General features: G+C 43.0%; 1 protein-coding gene and 1 long non-coding RNA gene across 25 annotated transcripts in view, besides 1 other annotated feature; both read right to left on the reverse strand.

Moving 5' to 3' along the window:
- ARHGEF11 (Rho guanine nucleotide exchange factor 11) overlaps window positions 1–12,178 on the reverse strand; it is a 112,064-nt gene extending 99,886 nt beyond the window's left edge. For 20 of the 24 annotated variants that reach the window (XM_047435306.1, NM_014784.4, XM_017002923.3 and 17 more), the window contains exon 1: window positions 9,574–11,017. In XM_047435306.1, coding sequence (XP_047291262.1) covers window positions 9,574–9,605 — 32 coding nt within the window. In that variant the 5' untranslated portion in view covers window positions 9,606–11,017. Of the gene's footprint in view, window positions 1–8,181; window positions 8,335–9,573; window positions 11,018–11,670 lie in introns of those variants that run through there. The other 4 variants (XM_047435301.1, XM_047435294.1, NM_001377418.1 and 1 more) reach the window with 2 other exon arrangements.
- Window positions 10,928–11,227: a silencer, noted in NCBI's record as "silent region_1443". NCBI's record gives its function as "represses an Ori minimal core promoter by ATAC-STARR-seq in GM12878 lymphoblastoid cells {active_cell/tissue: GM12878}" and the evidence as "EXISTENCE:reporter gene assay evidence [ECO:0000049][PMID:35858748]".
- Window positions 12,179–15,374: 3,196 nt separating the features above from the next.
- LOC102724222 (uncharacterized) lies at window positions 15,375–16,958 on the reverse strand. The gene is made up of 3 exons (XR_426851.4): window positions 16,916–16,958; window positions 16,425–16,556; window positions 15,375–15,533 (listed from the first exon to the last, which is right to left on the reverse strand). It is a non-coding gene; the product is annotated as an uncharacterized LOC102724222 (long non-coding RNA).
- Window positions 16,959–18,778: the final 1,820 nt, after the last annotated feature.

Below are 18,778 nucleotides of genomic sequence, written 5' to 3' on the forward strand. Positions count from 1 at the left end.
GGAACAGGATAAAACACAAGAACCATATAAAAGAACCAACATAACAGTCTACCACGTGCTAGATATTCTGCTAGAACTTTTACACAAATTATTTTATACAAGCAAATAAGATAAAGTTGAATTGCTGTATGTATGTGCAAAAGGAATGCTGAATAATATAAAGGTGTAGGGTTTGGTGATATTAACCAGCAAAGACTTCCTTGAAGGAAATAAGAGTAATGGAGTTGGGAGAAGACAGAGAACACTGATATAAAGGTGTGCAAAGAGGGATGTGGGCCCAGGAATGAGGCTGGTCTACCCGAAGCAGGGCGACAGGGTACAGTAATGAGACCTACGATTATTGAGATGTGGGCTAAACTGAAGAAAGAAGTCATGAATCCCAAGCTGGGGAGCTTGGGCTAGGAAGGAAAGACATTGTGGGTTTCTAGCAAAGGATCTGCTTTGGGATGAGCGCTTAGGCCCCTCATTTTTAACTACTGTCCTGTGTTTGTTCACTATGGTCCCACAGCCATGCCTGTCTGTCCTTAGTTGAGAATCAGCACAGGACTGAGGGTAATTCAAGCATGGGTATTCTAGTGGCAGCTGAGGAGAGTTTAGGACAATCTGGGGTCCCTGCCAAACCAAATGCCCTAACAACACTCACCGTATGTTTGGCACCATGGAATTCACAAAATGCTTTTTTTTTTTTTTCTTTTTTGAGATGGAGTTTCGCTCTTGTTGCCCAGGCTGGAGAGCAATGGCGCAATCTCGGCTCACCGCAACCTCTGCCTCCTGGGTTCAAGCCATTCTCCTGCCTCAGCCTCCCGAGTAGCTGGGATTACAGGAATGCACCACCACGTGCGGCTAATTTTGTATTTTTAGTAGAGACGGGGTTTCTCCATGTTGGTCAGGCTGGTACAAATTATCCTGATCACATAGCTAGTTAGTCACTCAGCTGGGGCTCACTTAAAGTCCTATATTCTCTACATTAGTCAACTAGAATGATTTCCACATAGATGGCCCTCCAGCCCCAGAGTTTGGGTGGCTATGTGGGAATATATATATATACAGGAATATATATATATAGGAATATATATACAGGAATATATATATAGGAATATATATATGGAATATATATATGTATATATTTAGGAATATATATAGGAATATATATAGGAATATATATAGGAATATATATATATGAATCTATATATAGGAATATATATATATGAATCTATATATAGGAATATATATATATGAATCTATATATAGGAATATATATATATGAATCTATATATAGGAATATATATATGAATCTATATATAGGAATATATATATGAATCTATATAGGAATATATATATGAATCTATATGAATATATATATGAAAATACATATATGAATATATATGAATATATATATGAAAATATATATATGAATATATGAATACATATATGAATATATATATGAATACATATATGAATACATATATGAATATATATACATATATATATATGGCTGATTAATCAGGATCCATCAAATACATGCTAATCTCCTCAAACCATGACCCAACTTCCTAAGGGATCTCCCAGAACTGACTACTCACTTTTTTTTGTTTGTTTTTTGTTTGTTTTTTTGAGGCAGAGTCTTGCTCTGTCACCCAGGCTGGAGTGCAGGGGTGCGATCTCAGCTCCCTGCAACCTCTGTCTCCCGGGTTCAAGTGATTCTCCTGCTTCAGCCTCCCAAGTAGCTGGGACTACAGGCGTGCACCAACACATCAGGCTAATTTTTGTATCTTTAGTAGAGACGGGGTTTCACCATGTTGGCCAGGCTGGTCTCAAACGCCTCACCTCAGGTAATCCACCCACCTCGGCCTCCCAAAGTGCTGGGATTACAGGCGTGAGCCACCACGCCCAGCCTCCTGCTTCTCTTAAAAAGCTGTATTGAAGAGCTCTAAAACTATTTGGTAGAAATGGCCTAACCTAAGGGTCTAAGGAAGGTTAAGTATCCACTGTATTCAGTAAATTGCTAGGTATCAATGGCAGACAAAATGACTTCTACTGAAGATCCTAGTCTATCAATAGCACTACCCTTCTCCTAGTCCACCAGTCTCATAAATTTGGGAATAAAATTTGATTCAGGGCAGTGCACGGTGGCTTACACCTGTAATCCCAGCACTGTGGGAGGTGGAGGCGGGCGGATCACCTGAGATCAGGAGTTTGAGACTAGCCAGGCCAACATGGTGAAACCCCGTCTCTACTAAAAAATATAAAAACTTAGCCAGGCATGGGATCAGGCACCTGTAATCCCAGCTACTCAGGAGGCTGAGGCATGAGAATTGCTTGAACCTGGGAGGCAGGGGTTGCAGTGAGCCAAGATCGTGCCATGGCACTGTAGCCTGCGTAACAAGAGCAAAACTCTGTCTCAAAATAAATAAATAAATAAATAAATTTGATTCAGTCTTAAAATACTGGTTAATTCTGCTACCAAAACGTCTTGGGAATCCTGCCACTCCTCTTTGTCCCCACCATAACCGTTCTGATTCAGAAGCTCGTTATCTTTTCCTAAGATTGCTACAAAAACTCCTAGGCTTCCTAACCCCAAGCTCTCTTCTGCTCTATATATTAATATCAGAATTCTCTCTTTAAACACTATGTTTATCACCATATAATACATAAACCTTCCCCGGCTCCCTTTCTACTACCACATAAAGTCTGAATCCCTTCATTCTCCCTACCCTACCCATCTTATCAATCTAATTTCTCTCTGCTCTACAATAATCTTAACACTTGGAGACCACACCATGTTGGTGCCACCCCAGACAGAACCTTGCTCGTGTTGCTCCTCTAGTCTGAAATGGCCTCTTCTCTTTCTTCGACCTGAATAATTCCTAACTACTCTGCCTTTGACTATTCTTATTAGCACCAACCTTGCACTCTTCTCTAAATGTACCTTTTGGTGTACATAACGATTCAGCAATTATGTACCATCTTTTTATTTTGTGTTGCTTTGTTAATAACATTTCCCAACAAGCATTTAGGCTTGAGGCCATGCACGGTGGCTCATGCCTGTAATCCCAGCACTTTGGGAGGCTGAAGTGGGCGGTTTACTTGAGGTCAGGAGTTCGAGACCAGTCTGGCCAACATGGTGAAACCCCCGTCTCTACTAAAAATACAAAAAGTATACCGGGTGTGGTGGCAGGTGTCTGTAATCCCAACTACTTGGGAGGCTGAGGCAGAGAATCGCTTGAACCCAGGAGGTGGAGGTTGCAGTGAGCCGAGATCACGCCACTGCACTCCAGCCTGGGTGACAGAGCAAGACTGTCTCAAAAAAAAAAAAAAAAAAAAAAAAAAGAATGTAAGCTCTATGTTCTCCTGTACTATCTCTCAGAACACTGAGAACTGCACTGAGCCATCTGATAAATATTTCAAGTCCAACCAACCGTCAAGCGCCACAGATCACAGGTCATCACCAGGAGGGCTGCTAGATTGGTTCCCTACATGATTTGAGGCCAGGCTGTGACTGATGACTACAGATCCCATCACACCACTTTGTAGTGGCTGCTCCCAAATACTGGAAAGGAGCAGGGTCTGGAAAGCAAGACTCTGAAATTACTTCACTCTAACTTTTCAAAGCCCCTTTCTCACATATTCATGTCTTAGTTTGCTATTCTTTAAAATGAGGAGGAAAATCTTAAGGAAGTCAACAATGGTAATAGAGGGATACTAGTGACTTTAAGGCCTACGCTGAAATCACAATAGAAAGACAATAAAATGGTTTTAAATTGTGGCAGAGGAAGTTTCGTATCCAAAGGGATTTCTAATTGTTGAACTAATGGAACCATCCTCCAGAGATCACTGAAAATGGGAGAGGCCTTCAACCTGTCTTTACTAGGTTAAGAGACACCCTATTTGGAGTCCAGAGTAAAGGGCAAGAGGATCCCTTGAAGTCCTGCCAGATTTTTGTGATTTTTTCCTGAAATCTGTCCAATTGTTTTAGTACAATAAATTGGGGTATTCTTCCAGACCTTAAGAACACCTTCCAGGCCTGGCGTGGTGGCTTGCACCCATAATCCTGGGACTTTGGGAGGCCGAGGTGGGCAGATTGCTTGAGTTCAGGAGTTTGAGACCACTCTGGGCAACATGGTGAACCTCATATCTACAAAAATTAGCCAGGTGTGGTGGCACATGCCTGTAATGCCAGCTACTCAGGAGGCTGAAGTGGGAGGACCACCTGAGCCTGGGGAGGTCAAGGCTGCAGTGAGCCATGATCATGCCACTGCACTCCAGCCTGGGCGACAGAGTGAGACCCTGTCCCAAAAAACAAAAAACAAAACCACCTTCCAAATCCTATTCCAATTCTATTAGGGGCCATGGATTTCTCAGTTCCTCCCCATGTTTCCATGTCCCTGTACTTCCATCTTCTCTCCCATTTGATCAGGCAGCTTTGTTCTCTGTTCTTTTCAAGCTTTCATTTTCACTGATTTTCAGGAAAGCCAGACAATGATTTCTGAAAAACCATTTGGCCCACTGAAAGGACACAAAGCATTCTGGTTTCAGAGGCTGAAAGAACGTAATAGCTAAAAGGAATCAAATCTTAGAGGCTGGCTAGCCTAATTCCCTCATTTTTCCAAATAAGCAAACTGAGGTCGAGGGCAGGTAAGCACCTTTGCAAGGTCATTCACCCAGCTGCTAACAAAGCTGGCTCCATCATCCACGTCTACTAACTCAGATGTTGTGTTCTTTCCTCAGAACTCCAAACCTCCTTTCACAAAAGATCTAACATGACTTTTTATGAAGTTATACTTTTTTCTTTTTGAGACCAGGATCAGCAACTTCTTCAGTACGGTTTACCCCATGGGGCAAAGGAGTGATCTTGCATGCCACTAGCAGGTGTATGCTTGGGTCTTTTATCAATATAGTGATTGACAAAAGAAGGAACACCACAATCCACAGCAAAAAGAGTTTCCAAGCCACGTGATATATCTTTGAGTTAAGCTTAAAAAATAATAAACCAATAAAAATGAATTTTTAAAGGCAATGCTACTATGAAGAGGTGAAACAGATTCAGTCAATATAGATTAAAATAACTCCTCTTACGTTTATAGAACTCAACAGTTAACAAAGCCTTTTCACAAACATCAGATTATCAGAACATTAAAGCAGCAAGAAACACTATACAAACTAGAGTTTCTAAACTCCATTCCACAGAGGCTGTGAGCTTCCAGAACTCCTTTACCTTTATACTAACTAGGAGATTAGCTATGTGCTGTTCACAAAATCTTTTTATTTTTGATGAACTCGTATTGTCATTTAATTTTTCTTATTTCTTGTCTATTAAAAAAGCTAAACAAATACATTAATAAAAGGGCACTCTTTCAGAAATGTTTTTGAGTATCTGAAGTTAAGCTTAGTCTGCTCCTTCTCATAATGGTGATTAATTGCCAAATGTTTCAGCTGCAAATCCATTGTGTCTCTCATCTCACACCCCTAGATGGGAACAAGGGTACATTTTGGAAAAGACTCAGCATTTCCGGGACTTATCATACGTAGCTCTGGATCCCTGTCTCCATTCTGGGAGGCCAACCTTCTAATCTAGGTAGAAACTCAGCTAAATGTCTGGGGACTTCTTGGTCCCAGGAGTCAATAAAGACCAGAAGCCAAGGTGCGAAGAGACCCCTGACAGAGAACAGTTGCTGGGTCTAGATTTATTTTGAATTAGGAAAGTCATACGCTTTTAAGACAAGGAATGGCTGGAGATCACAGAACAAATCCTTTCTATCCCCATCACTAACAGACATTTAAGGTGAGCCAAGGTAGATGAAGTCTCTCTCATTCATCAGAGTTCCTGGGAAGGAGATTCAGTAACCCTTCTCTTCTCACATTCTTCTAGTACCCTATCTATTGGAAAAATACTCCTTCCTCCTGACCCCATGCACTTCTACAACAATAAAGCCAGTTCACTCTGCTTAAATTCTTCAAAATGATATAAAGATTTCAGTCACCTTGTTTTGTTTTGGGATACTTAGCTCAGAAAGTTGTGCACGAAGCTAAATCAAATCTGTGAATTTACCATCTATAATTTATATAGAGTTTACAGTTTAGAAAACAATTTGAAATACATTATCTCGTTTGATTTGCTCCTTTCAATAGGCTTGTGAGAGAGATGAAACAAACATTATAATCCTCAAATGACACACCATATAAAAATGTTTGAGAACTGGATTGTACTTTATAGAAATGAACTACTACTGCTTTACATGAGGAAGCCAGAGGAGGCATGTGACTTCCCCAAGGTCACATAGTTAAGGGGAAAGCCAGGACTCAAACCACAAACTCTTGGCTTAAAGTACTTTGGTTTGATCCTCACATGAACTAACTTTGGGCAGAGGAAAGATGTTTCATGGATGCAAACCCCTAACCCTCCTGTCCATCTCAAAAACATTTGCCATGGGGGAACCAGGCTAACAGATATAGATGGCTTAGCAAAACTCATGACCACTCCTGTAAAAATAATTTAGTATCATTATCTCTGTTTGCAATAGCAAACACATTTTTAGAAACTCTTGAAAGGAATATATATTAATGGGCAGTAAGTTGCCCATGGACAAAAACTGAAAGGGACATGAACAGCTACACTTTAGCCCATCTTTCAGTAACAACTGATTAACACTGAAAGATAAAGAATAGTTGCAAATACTTTATGCTTTCTATGGACCCAGGAGTCACTCTTGAACAGGGTGCTACAGGAGATGAAAGACTGCCAAGTAAATATTCCAAAATTTTCTTACTCTCAGCTACAATCTCTTTCCAAATACATAGTCCTTTATTATGTCATTTATTTTCTAGAAAATACACATTACCTAGGAAACCTTCTCTAATTGACCTTATTTGACTACATTTGAAATTAACACGTGAATGTTGAAACAACCCGCAATGAAATAATTTGTACTTGCTGATCTGTTCATTCACTCTAACATTCATTTGTCAAACATTTCTTGAGTACTCACCTCATGCAAGACACTAAGCTAGGCACACAGGATTTCATACAGGCAAACCAAACTGTCCCTGCTTGTGAGGGGCTTACAGTCTGGTGTTGCTTTATGTGGTCTTCAAGAGTCTTACGTGTTTCCCAGTCCCCCAGTTGCATGCTCTCTCTGTGAGCAAGTACTGTACACCTTAATTTTCTAAAACTCTCCTATAGCACCTTACACTAGGCTCTCTACACAGCAAACTGATAAACTGAAAGAATACTAGACTCCATAATCCGCAGCGTATTATTCCTTTCAGTGTGATTTAAATCTGTAAATTATTTAAAATCCATAGAGTCTTGAGGCTGATGTTGCCCAAAGTTACAATTGAATAAGCCTACAGTTAAGGGAGTAAGATTCAGTGCAGCTAGCTGGGGATGTCTGAAGGGGATCTGAGTCCTACCACTCTTAATGGGGAAGAGAATCAGGCAGGGTGGAGGTGAGGAATACCCTTACCCTGCAAAGCTGCACTATCTTACAAGAGAAAATAGTGCTTTAACTATAGGACTTACAGGTATGAGCCCCAAGACTGAACCCCCAAGGTAGGAGCCCCAAGACAGAAAAGTAGAAGGGAAGACCTTGACTGCTGACGGGCACTTTACCCTACTACCAAAGAGAAAGGAGAAAACGGTGCCCCACACATTCTACAGGACCAGTACAGAAGCCTAGTTAGACATGATGGGGCAATGAAAGAGCTACAGATTCAGACTCAGAAGACCTGTGTTTGAGTCTTTGAGTCCAGATTCTGCCACTAGCCAGGCAAGATGGCACTGGGCAAGCCAGGTAGCCTCTCTGAGCCTCAGTTTCCCCTTCTGTGAAACATGAATAATAACCTCTGATGCTTCTGTCTACCTCACACAGAACCACTGTGAGATTCAAATGAGATATGTTCTACGAAAGCACTTAGGAAACTGTAATGTGCTGGGCAAATCCTGAGATTTTTATCTATGAGGATATCCAAACCCCCAGGAGTGTCTCACATCAACCCAGGAAGGCTCACCGCCTCCTCCTTCTTGCACGCCCCCAAAACTTGGGTTCCCATCTTCTCAAATCCTTGCATTTACCAGAAAGAGTTCACCATCCAAATCTTAAAAAGGCAAGTGCACTAATTCTCAAACTCCAAGAGGATGAAAAGGGAAGAAGGGCAGCCATGTAAACCATTCCAATTCCTCACCTTGACACACCTCAGTTCTCCCTTTCCAAGGGTCAAACTGCAGAGAGGCCAACAGAAAGGAGGAAGGAGGTCTGAACTGGCCGTACATCCTTTGTGGCTGTCTGCCTCCTCTTCTCCACTGCCAAGTCAGTTCCCATCTAGGGACTGCTGAACTAATCTAAATGGGACTCTGAGGCAATACAGAGATTAGTGCTTGAGAGAGAGAGATTATATGCATTTTAGGCCACATTCCACAACCAAAAGGAAATTATTATTAGCATGGATAACCGAAGGTGGACTGGGCATGGAGGGAACAATTGCTCCCTTGCAAATATTCTTCCCTATCTCTCCAATAATATTTTTTTCCAGGCCCAGTCCTTTCATTTGCTTGTTCAGTCCTTCAACCACCCATCTATCCAGTTAGGATGTGTGCAGTGCCCACAAAACACACCCCCCACAGCAAGGTTCTCATGGGGAGAAGCGTTGAGGAGGGGTAGGGGAGGGAAGGAAAAGGCAGACACCTTACAAAGTTGTACCAATCATTTGGAGGTAAGAATTGCAACCACACAGTAACATTACCAGTGATAGAGGTGGCTGGGCAGACTCTTGGGGCAAGGGGTGTCATGTGTTCAGACTCTGAGGGCCAGTGCTGCTGCCCAGCAGGCCTACGAGCCCAAAACAATTTCTTCTGGCTCCAGGCAGAGGGAAGGCCCATTTTGCAGAGTCAAGCTTATTAAGAACAGCTTGGAAGATTAAACCTAGAGCATCAGCCGGTTGGCAGGTCTCAATTCAAACTCTAAGCTTGGAGGAGAGGAAATTCTAATGTGATCTATGCATTTTGGGACCATGTCAGCTACTGGTAAAAATCCAGACTTGCATGGGTGCAAAGGATGTTTCTGTCCCATCATTCAGGCCAAGAACATCCTCTTCATTTCTAGAAATGGGATCCACCCCGTCACCAAGCCCCACCATTCCATACCAACCAGCCTGGTGGAGGCCCACGCCTCTGCCAGGGCCCTTCTCCCAGCAGCTCCAACACCTAAAGCCAGTCCCCCTAGTGCAACCCTAGGAGCTCACAAGACTGGCTTGCCCCCACCTGAGACTAGCAAGTTGGGTGGACTCAAATTCAGCCTCTACCCTGGCAAAAGTCAAAAGCCACTGGAAGCACATCCTCCTCCTTTCCCTCTCCTGGCTTCACTGTTTATTGCTTATATTCAAAAGACGCTGAATCAAGAGCTATGTTTTTGCACATAACCACATAGGCTGACAGTCCCCAGAGACTAATGCTCCTAGCCCACCAATTCCCATAGCCCACCCAGACCCCTATTTTCAACCATTTATTAAAATGCAACACCACCCCTCCCAGTCTTTCCTTTAGTCAATGTTGAAAAATCAAATTATTAGCAAACCTACCTGTCTATACTCTGGGGTAACCTTACACTCATGGTTTCTCGGTGTCTCCACGGTTCCAGAATCCTGTAGCTTTGGTGTCTTGATCAGGATTGAATCGCTTGCAATTTTTGAGCAAGGTGAGAGGAGGGCCTCCCAACTTGAAGATAGAATCCTTTCTCCTCCAGCTCTCAGGACCCTGGTAACTGATGCTCCACTCTACTTCTACCAGTGAACATGATTTCCTTTCTCAGCCCCTCTTCCCCTCCCCCGCTTTAAAAAAAAAGAAAAGAAAAGAAAAAAGAAAAAAAAAGGAAAAGAGGAAAAACTACGACCTTCTCAGAAACCAAAAACCCAGCCACGAATCTCTTCAAGGTTAGCACTATGGCCAAAAAAAAATGAATCACAGAAAAATGTGCCTTCAAAATATCACTGTTAACTGCAAAGTACAGATAAAACCATCCTTTAAATCCAGCTTTCTCAGCTGTCCTTCTGTTGGCAAGAGACCCTCTAGCTCAAAGGGGGAAAGTAATTTTCTAGTCTCCAATGCTTAATATGACAACAGCAAATATCTTTGAGGAAAGGAAAAAAAAAAGGATTAATAAATCCGAAATGGCACTTGGAAAAATTCTTTCGGCTGATTTGTACAGTAAAATAATAAATAAAACCATACAATAGTATGTACACAACAGCACTCCTTCCAAGTCCAGTGCAACCCTGGGAACCAAAATTTATGGACTTCCTTAAAAAAAAAAAAGCTTTTACATTAAATGTTTTGAAATTCTTAAATGAGCCAATTGCACCAAAAAAAAAAATAAAATAAAAATCAAAGAACACCTGAAATGCAATGCTTTTTACCTTTAAGATGGTAGTAATGATAACAAACCAGAGATAATCTCTGAAAATATTCTCTCCTTTTCTTTTTCCTTTAAACTTGCAGGTTCCTCCACCTACCCCAGCCTGATTCTCAGACCCAGCCTACGTTCGGCCTTTTTCTGAAAGACAATTTCCTGAGTTAGTTCTGCTGTTGGGCTCCTCCACATCCAGGCTCCGAAATTTTCTCTTGCCTCAGCCTCCATGAAACGGAGATTTCGCTTCCTCCCGTTCCCCCTTCTCTCTCCCTCTCTCTCGCCCGGCCAGAAAGACGGCTCCCTTATTATTCGTTCGGATTATTATTGTGGATTTGAGTTCGAGGTGGGTTTTTCTTCCACACCAGACTCCTGGAAAATCCGATCGCCTGTCTCCTCTCGGCCTCTCCTTGCCTCCCTTTCCGCCCCTCGCCTAATCTCGCAGGCAGGAGCCCGCAGTGCCTCGCGCAGGACGCCCGGCCGGGCCTCGGGCTCCCGGCGCCGCTCGCCCCGCGCCCGACCGCCGTGTTCCGGCCTTCGCGGCCGCTCGGGACGCCAGGCTCGGCGCACAGGGAAGGCTGCGGCGGCTGCGGCAGGCCGGCACGAGCGGGCGTCCGACTGCCGGCGTCGCGGCCGCGCTCGCCTCCTTCCGGGCCCCTTCCCCCTCGGTTCGCCGCTCGCTCGGGCGCAGGCCCGGCCGGCCGCCCCCCTTCCCTCCCTCCTTCCCTGCGAGCCTTTCTCCTTCCCTCGCTCCCGCGGGGCGGGGCCGCAGGCTCCTCCTCCTCGCTGCGCTGCCCGCCGCCCGCCGGCCTTTCCCCTCACGCCGCGGCGGCCGGGGGCGGGGGCGGGAAGCTGACCGCCTTTCCCTGCCTCGGTTCCCGCGGCCGCGACTCCCGCCGACCGGCCCGCCCCTGTCCCGGCCTCCCTGCGCGCCCTGCCCCCCACAACCCTTTGCCGTCGCTCCTCGGCCGGTCCCCTCTGCGGCCCCTCAGTCGCCGGCCCTGCCCCTCGGCGCGGCCTAGCGGGTTCCCATCTCAGCCGGATCCCCGGCCCGGCCCGCGGGCGACCCCGGCCCTGACCCCGCCAGGCACCGCGCGCCGTCCCCGCCGCCGCCACCGCCACCGCCACCCCTGCCGCCTTTTCGCCGCTTTTCCTCGGCTGCTTTTCCCCCTTTTATTGACTTCTGCTCGGGAGCCGACCTTTGTTTCCTACCCCCTGCCCGCCCAGCCACCGTGCCCGCGCCCCGTGCCCCTGCCCACGGGTGCAGGTTTACCTCTTTGCGTCCACCGGCATTACCCCGGCGCCCGCAGCTGCGGCTCACCCTCTCTCCACCTCTCTTCTGATCTTATTTTTCAAACATTTGTTGCGGCCTCCTTCGTGGTGTCAGTTCTTTTAACTGTTTCCTCCCGTTTCTGTGGTCCTTCCCACTTCTAATACCACCGACTTAGGGGGAAGACCCTTCGCTGTTTCCTCTCGGGTTGGGTTGGGCATCTTAATAGCAGGCTGTGTGAAGTGTCTTTGAACTCTATGGAAGAGCCTTTCCAGAGCAATTCTATTTTCATAACCCCCTCTCATAGAATCACAGTTTCTAAATCTTTACAAGTAACGTGACATTTGTCAGAAGGTGCCGAGCGTTATGATTAAAAATCATTAAGGCCGAGGCGGGGCCTGAGGTCAGGAGTTCGAGACCATCCTGGGCCAACATGGTGAAACCCCCCCCCTCTACTAAAAATACAAAACTAGCCGTACGTGGTGGCGCGTGCCTGTAATCCCAGCTACTCGGTAGGCTAGGGCACGAGAATCGCTTGAACCCGGGAGGCGGAGCTTGCAGTGAGCCGAGATTGCGCCACTGCACTCCAGTCTGGGCAACAGAGCGAGACTCCGTCTCAAAAAACTAATAATAATAAAATTTTTTTTAAAAAATTATTAAAATAAAAAAACTCTCACTAGGATTGGGGAGTGGACTTTGCCTTCTTGCCTAGGTAAATGCCATTGTAAAATACTCTGCAGGCAGTGGGGTGTTTGCATAAGTTCTCTCCTTTCACACTACCTGGATTGTTCTGGGAGGGGGTGGATATGTATATGTAAATTATCTATACACATTCGTGAGCTCTGGAGTGACCTCACCAGTGTTAGAAGTGGTAGATATGCAAATTGCAAGAGGAAAAAGAAACGAATAAGCATCAGTTGAAGACCTACTATGAACCAGGAACTTTCCCTTTAATGTATATCAGGTATAGGTTGGCAAATAAAAGAACCTGCTTCCTTCACCCTGTCTCCACCAACCCCTAGGCCAGAACTCCCCAAAACAGGTGATCTGCCCAGCATTTGAAGCACAGTCTAGATTGTTGCTGACTTAATTGTGTCTTTCTTTCCCATACTACCCGCAAAAATGATGCTCTCAAATGTGGACACTGCTCTGTGGTGACAGACCACTGGTTGCCACACATTTTAAAATAATGTTTTCTTGGCCAGGTGCGGTGGCTCACGCCTGTAATCCCAGCACTTTGGGAGACCGAGGCGAGTGGATCACCTCAAGTCAGAAGTTCGAGACCAGCCTGGCCAACATGGTGAAACCCCGTCTCTACTAAAAATACAAAAAATTAGCTGGGTATGGTGGGGAGCGCCTGTAATCCTAGCTACTCCGGAGGTTGAGGCAGGAGAATCGCTTGAACCCGGGAGGCAGAGGTTGCAATCAGCCAAGATTGCGCCACTGCACACCAGCCTGGGTGACGAGTGAAACTCCATCTCAAAATGATAATAATAATGATAATGTGTTCTTAATATATGTAATATTTTTAAAGCAAGTATTTACATATATTTTATTACATATCTTATACAACATTGCCTAGTGTAGAAATATTAAAAGGTTGAAATTTAAAAATGAACATTTTTTAAATCATGCTTTTTGGTGAAAGTTAATTGCTGTCATAACTGGAAAAGATGCTTGCCAAAGATAGGTAGATTCAAACAGAAGAAGTATGCCCTTGATTGCATTTATTAAATCATGATACTTATTTTCCAATCCCATTCATCAACAATGCAAAGACTTCTAATTGAAATTCAACTAGTAAATTTATATCTTAAGTCAATCCTTCTTGAATGATTGGAAGGTGTTACATTTTTATATTCTTAACAAATGGGTTCCAGCCATTAAGAAATTTCATTTAACTTTAAAAAATAGGTTTTCAAATTCTGTTTCCTAATTTTTCAGTGTGCAAAGGTTTTGATAGGTGAAACCATTGTTTTTGGTAATTAAAAAAATCACAATATTGGAACCATTTCCAGTCATCCGTCTTCAAAATACTTTTTCCTAAAGTATGTGTTTCTTTAGAAAAGCAGTGACTTCCTCGCTCGTAGATAGACTGTCATCTTAACCTTGAAGGGACAGCTTGAAGGGACAGATTAAGCGGTGTTTTTGTTGTTTGTTTTTGTTTTTGCAAGTAAGTGCTAGGTAGCATACTCTTGACAGCCATTTCTCATCATAGAACACTGAAATAAAACTGTGCATCTCCTCCATGTTCAGTATTTCATTTTAGGCTTTCCCCAGGAGATTGTTAATCTGCACAGCAAAGATTTTCATGGTCATTCTCTGTCATTACAAAGAATTGTAAAGTTTGTAGCAGTTAACAGGCTTGTTTTTGTCTGGTGGGTGGCGTACATCATGAAGAAAATGAACGTCAATGGTGATGTTACCTCTGGTTCTTGGAACCTCCTCATATACTGTGTGTGACAGATGACTTCTGACATAGTGACTGAGTGAGAATGCCATGTCATTAGTGTTAGTAAAACCTAATTATTTTTGCTATAATTAAATACTATTATGAGTGCATTCTTTTTTTTTTTTTTTTTTTTTTTTTGAGACGGAGTCTCGCTCTGTCGCCGAGACTGGAGTGCAGTGGCACAATCTTGGCTCACTGCAAGCTCCGCCTCCCAGGTTCACACCATTCTCTTGCCTCAGCCTCCCGAGTAGCTGGGACTACAGGCGCCCGCCACCACGCCCGGCTAATTTTTTGTATTTTTAGTAGAGATGGGGTTTCACTGTGTTAGCCATGATGGTCTCGATCTCCTGACCTCGTGATCCACCCGCCTCGGCCATGAGTGCATTCTTAAGTATTTTCCTCAAGCATCTCCTTGAACACTCCACTTTGAAGATTATGAGGGTGGCTTTAGTAAGATAGAGTTCCCTGAAGTTAGTTGGCCATTTAAGTAAACTGCAAGTCTCAGGTTAAAAAACAAAATAGATTAGATTGTGTCCTAGACAGACTGGGTTGTAGGAATCTGGAGGCAGCTGGTGATCAATGGAAAGAGCTAGACTAGACTAGGAGTCCGGAGAACTAGATAACTTTGTGAACTGCCATCTGCAGTTTGTAAGGATTTAATATGAACAAGCCTGGGCTCTGTAAGCTATAGAGTGCTGGGCAGGAAAATCAGGATAAATCTTAGGGAGCGTTACCTTAAAACAACCTTGTCCAACCTGGGGCCTGCAGGCCACATGTGGCCGAGGACAACTTGGAATGCAGCCCAACACAAATTCATAAACTTTCTTAAAACATTATGAGATTTTTTAAAAGCTCATTAGCTATCGTTAGTGTTAGTGTATTTTACTTGTGGCCCAAGACAATTCTTCTTCCAGTGTGGCCCAGGGAAGCCAAAAGATTAGACACCTCTGCCTTAAATGAACATAGTCCTTTGAACTTTTTTCCCACAGAACTCTATCAATAGATGAATCCTTTTCTCTGCCCAACATCCTGGGGAATAGGTAGGGCACTAGTTGTTATGTCTTTACATTAAGGTTAAGGAAACTATGGCACAGAGAAGTTTTAGGTGATCTGCATGAAATCCCATTAATTGATAGATTGAGGCTAGAATTCATACCTGATTATCTTTAAGTAGTGAGAAGCAAAGAAAAAGGTGGGTAGGTGGGTATGGTCAGCTTTTATTTCTGGGAGAGATTCTAGAAACTCAATGCTTGATTGAATAGCTGACGGAGAGCAGTGATGAAAAACCTTGAATGGTTCACGATGTGAATTCTAGAGAAGCAACTTCTCATCCATGAGCAGACATCTCCATCCCTGACTGGTGTTTCTTTTAAAGAGATGAACTCCAGGTTACTGTCATTCTCCTTCTAGGGTGCTGTTAAGGGACAGACCTGGCAAATTAAAATCACCACTGGAGACATAGTGCCATTGTTTCATTGACGATCTTTCACTCCTCTTAAACCTTTATCAGTTGGGAAGATGATGTGAGAGGCTTAATTAAGATACTGCTTACTCCTAAGGGTGAGAAAATTCTGTGGTTTTTTCATTAGCTGATTTTGATTTCTCTAGAATACTTCTGGGTAGCCAGAACAACCAGTCCTAAAATCTCTGTTACAGATGTCATTTCATTGTCACTCAGAATATTATGTTCATTTAACCTGTTGAATTCCCAATAAAATTTTAATATCAGGTAATAATCATACCCAAAACATATATAGTGCTTGCTATGTAAATACTGTTCCAAGCAAACTACAAGAATTAACTACTCGATTTTCTCAGCAACCTTTTGAAGTAGGTACTATTATAATATCAACCTTATTTTCAGATGGGGAAACAGAGGCCCAGAGAGGGAGAATAACTTGCCCAGAGTCAGAGAGCTGGAACCCAGGCAGTCTGGCTCCAGGGTCTGTGGTTGGCTTTCCTTTTATTACCTGTGCTGTCTCCTTGTCACAGGCACCATGCCAGGCCCCGGGGGGAAAGTGATAAAACCAAAGAACAATGAATTTGGCAGAACCTTCTCAGAAAGATGGGAGAGGTGCAGAGCTTTTTGAGGAGAAACTGGGGAGGGTGGAGCTAGAAGCAGAGTCCATTGGTTTATCTCCTCAACCCCCCAGAGACTTCTTTTTCCCATGGGGCAGTGGACCAGCAATTTTTCTCTTAGTTCTTTGCCTTCCCTCTCAATGTCCCTTGAGTTTTTTCCCCCAGAGATTTGGCCCTCATCTCTCTTGAGGATCTCAGGGAATTTATTGGAGAAGGAGCTTCTCACCTTTACTCACAGTGAGAGGTCTGCATTGTTTGCAGGGTCACCTTCCAGGTGTGCCCTTCAGCGTCCCCAGCTTGCTACCTTCCTGTCTGTGGTTACCTTAGAAACCAGGCTCTCCCATCATACTCCAAGTAGCTGAGACAAATTGAATAACAGAGAAGGTGCCAAGATAAATTGTAAAGAAAAAAATGTGTGAAAGAGAACCAATTTTAGACTGAAGGCTAATATTTTGGGAAGTTGGATGTGTTGTGTGTGTGTGTTTCTTCCAAATAAGACAAAGTTCCCAGGATCAAATGTGAGAAACAAAAAAGGTGAGATGCCAAGGGGAAGATAATAAAAAACCGCCCAAATCCTGCTTTTAAAACTGAAAAATATTGTGAGGTCAAGACAGGAGGATTGCTTGAGTTCCGGAGTTTGAGACCAGCCTGGGCTACATAGAAAGACCTCATCTCCACTAAAAATCAAAAAGATTAGCTGAGTGTGATGGTGCATACCTGTAGTTCCAGCTACTCTGGAGGCTGAGGCCGGGAGGATCGCTTAAGCTCAGGAGATCAAGGCAGCAGTGGGCTATGATCATGGCACTGCACTCCCACCTGAGTGACACAGTGAGACCCTGTCTCAAAAACAAAACGAACAAACAAAACTGAAAAATATCCTTTTAAAAGTTAAAAGAAATTTATTGACATGCAATAAATTACACATATTTAAAACGTATAATTTGGTGAGTTTTGACACACACACACATGAAACTGTCAGCACAATCAAGATAGTGAACATTATGCTGAAGAGTTTACTGTTGCTTCTTTCTGATTATTTCTTCCCAACCCTTCCCACTGGACACCCTTCCCTATTCTGGTCCCCAGGCAATCACGGATATACTTTTTGTTTCTATAGATTAGCTTCCATCTTCTAGAATTTTATATAAATGAAATCATATAGTATGTATCTTTTTTAATGACTTGTACTCAGCATAATTATTTTCAGATTCATCTGTGTTGTTGCTTTTATTTATTGCTGAATGGCATCTTTCACATTTCAATTTCTGATTACTTACTACTGGTACATAGAAACACAGTTATTTTTGTATATTGATCTGTATCTTGCAATCTTGTAAACCTATTTATTAGTTCTAGTGGGTATTTTGTAAATTCCATCAAATTTTCTGAGTAGATGGTTATGTTATCTGAGAATAATAACAGTTTTATTCCTTTCTTTCTAATCTGCACTCCCTTTATTTCTTTTTCTTTTTCTTGTCTTATTGCACTAGCTAGAACATCTAATGCAATGTTAATAGAACTACTAAGATAAGACATCCCTGCCTTGTTTCTCATCTTAGGGGGAAAGCAATTGTTTTTTCACAATTAAATATGATATTATCTGTAGGTTTTTCTTAGATTCTTTCTATCAGGTTGTGGAAGTTCTCTCCTGTTCCTAGTGTGCTGGGAGCTTTCAAAGAATAGTTGTGTTTTAATGTACAACATGAGGACTATAGTTGAAATTGTATTATATTAGGAAATTTTGTTAAATAAGTAGATTTTAGCTACTCTTGTCATACAAAGAAAATACGTGAGATGATTAATATGGTAACTTCCTTCACTATAGTAATCATTTTACTCTCAATATGTATCCCATAACATCATGTTATAAACCTCAAATATACACAATAACATTTGTTTTTTCTAAAAAAAGAATAGATGTATTTTATCAAATTCTTTGTTCTGCGTTAGTTGACATGATTATGTGGTTTTTCTTCTTTAGCCTGTTGATATGGTGAATTTTCAGTGTTGAACCAGGCTTGAATTTTTGGGATAAATTCTACCTGGTCATGATGTATTAATCTTATTATACATTGTCGGATTTGATTTGCTAAAAATTTGTTAAAGATTTTGCATATGTGCTCATGATACTCATGATAGATACTGGTCTGTAGCTTTTCTTTTCTTTTCTTTTTTTTTTTGAGATGGAGTCTTGCTTTTGTTGCCCAGGCTGGAGTGCAGGGGTGTGATCTCAGTTCACTGCAACCTCCGCCTCCTGGGTTCAAGCAATTCTCCTGCCCCAGCCTCCCAAGTAGCTGAGATTACAGGTGCGTGCAACCATGCCTGGCTAATTTTTGTATTTTTAGTAGAGATGGGGTTTCACCATGTTGGCTAGTCTGGTCTCGAACTCCTGACCTCAGGTGATCCACCAACCTCGGCCTCCCAAAGTGTTGGGATTACAGGTGTGAGCCACCATGCCCAGCTGCTTTTCTTTTCTTATAATGTTTTTGTCTAGTTTCAGAATAATGCTGGCCTCATAGAATGAGTTGGGAAGAATTATCTCTTCTTCCATGTTCTAGAAGGCTTTGTGTGGAATTGGCA

Source organism: Homo sapiens, chromosome 1 (assembly GCF_000001405.40).
Source record: "Homo sapiens chromosome 1, GRCh38.p14 Primary Assembly".
NCBI lineage: Eukaryota > Metazoa > Chordata > Mammalia > Primates > Hominidae > Homo > Homo sapiens.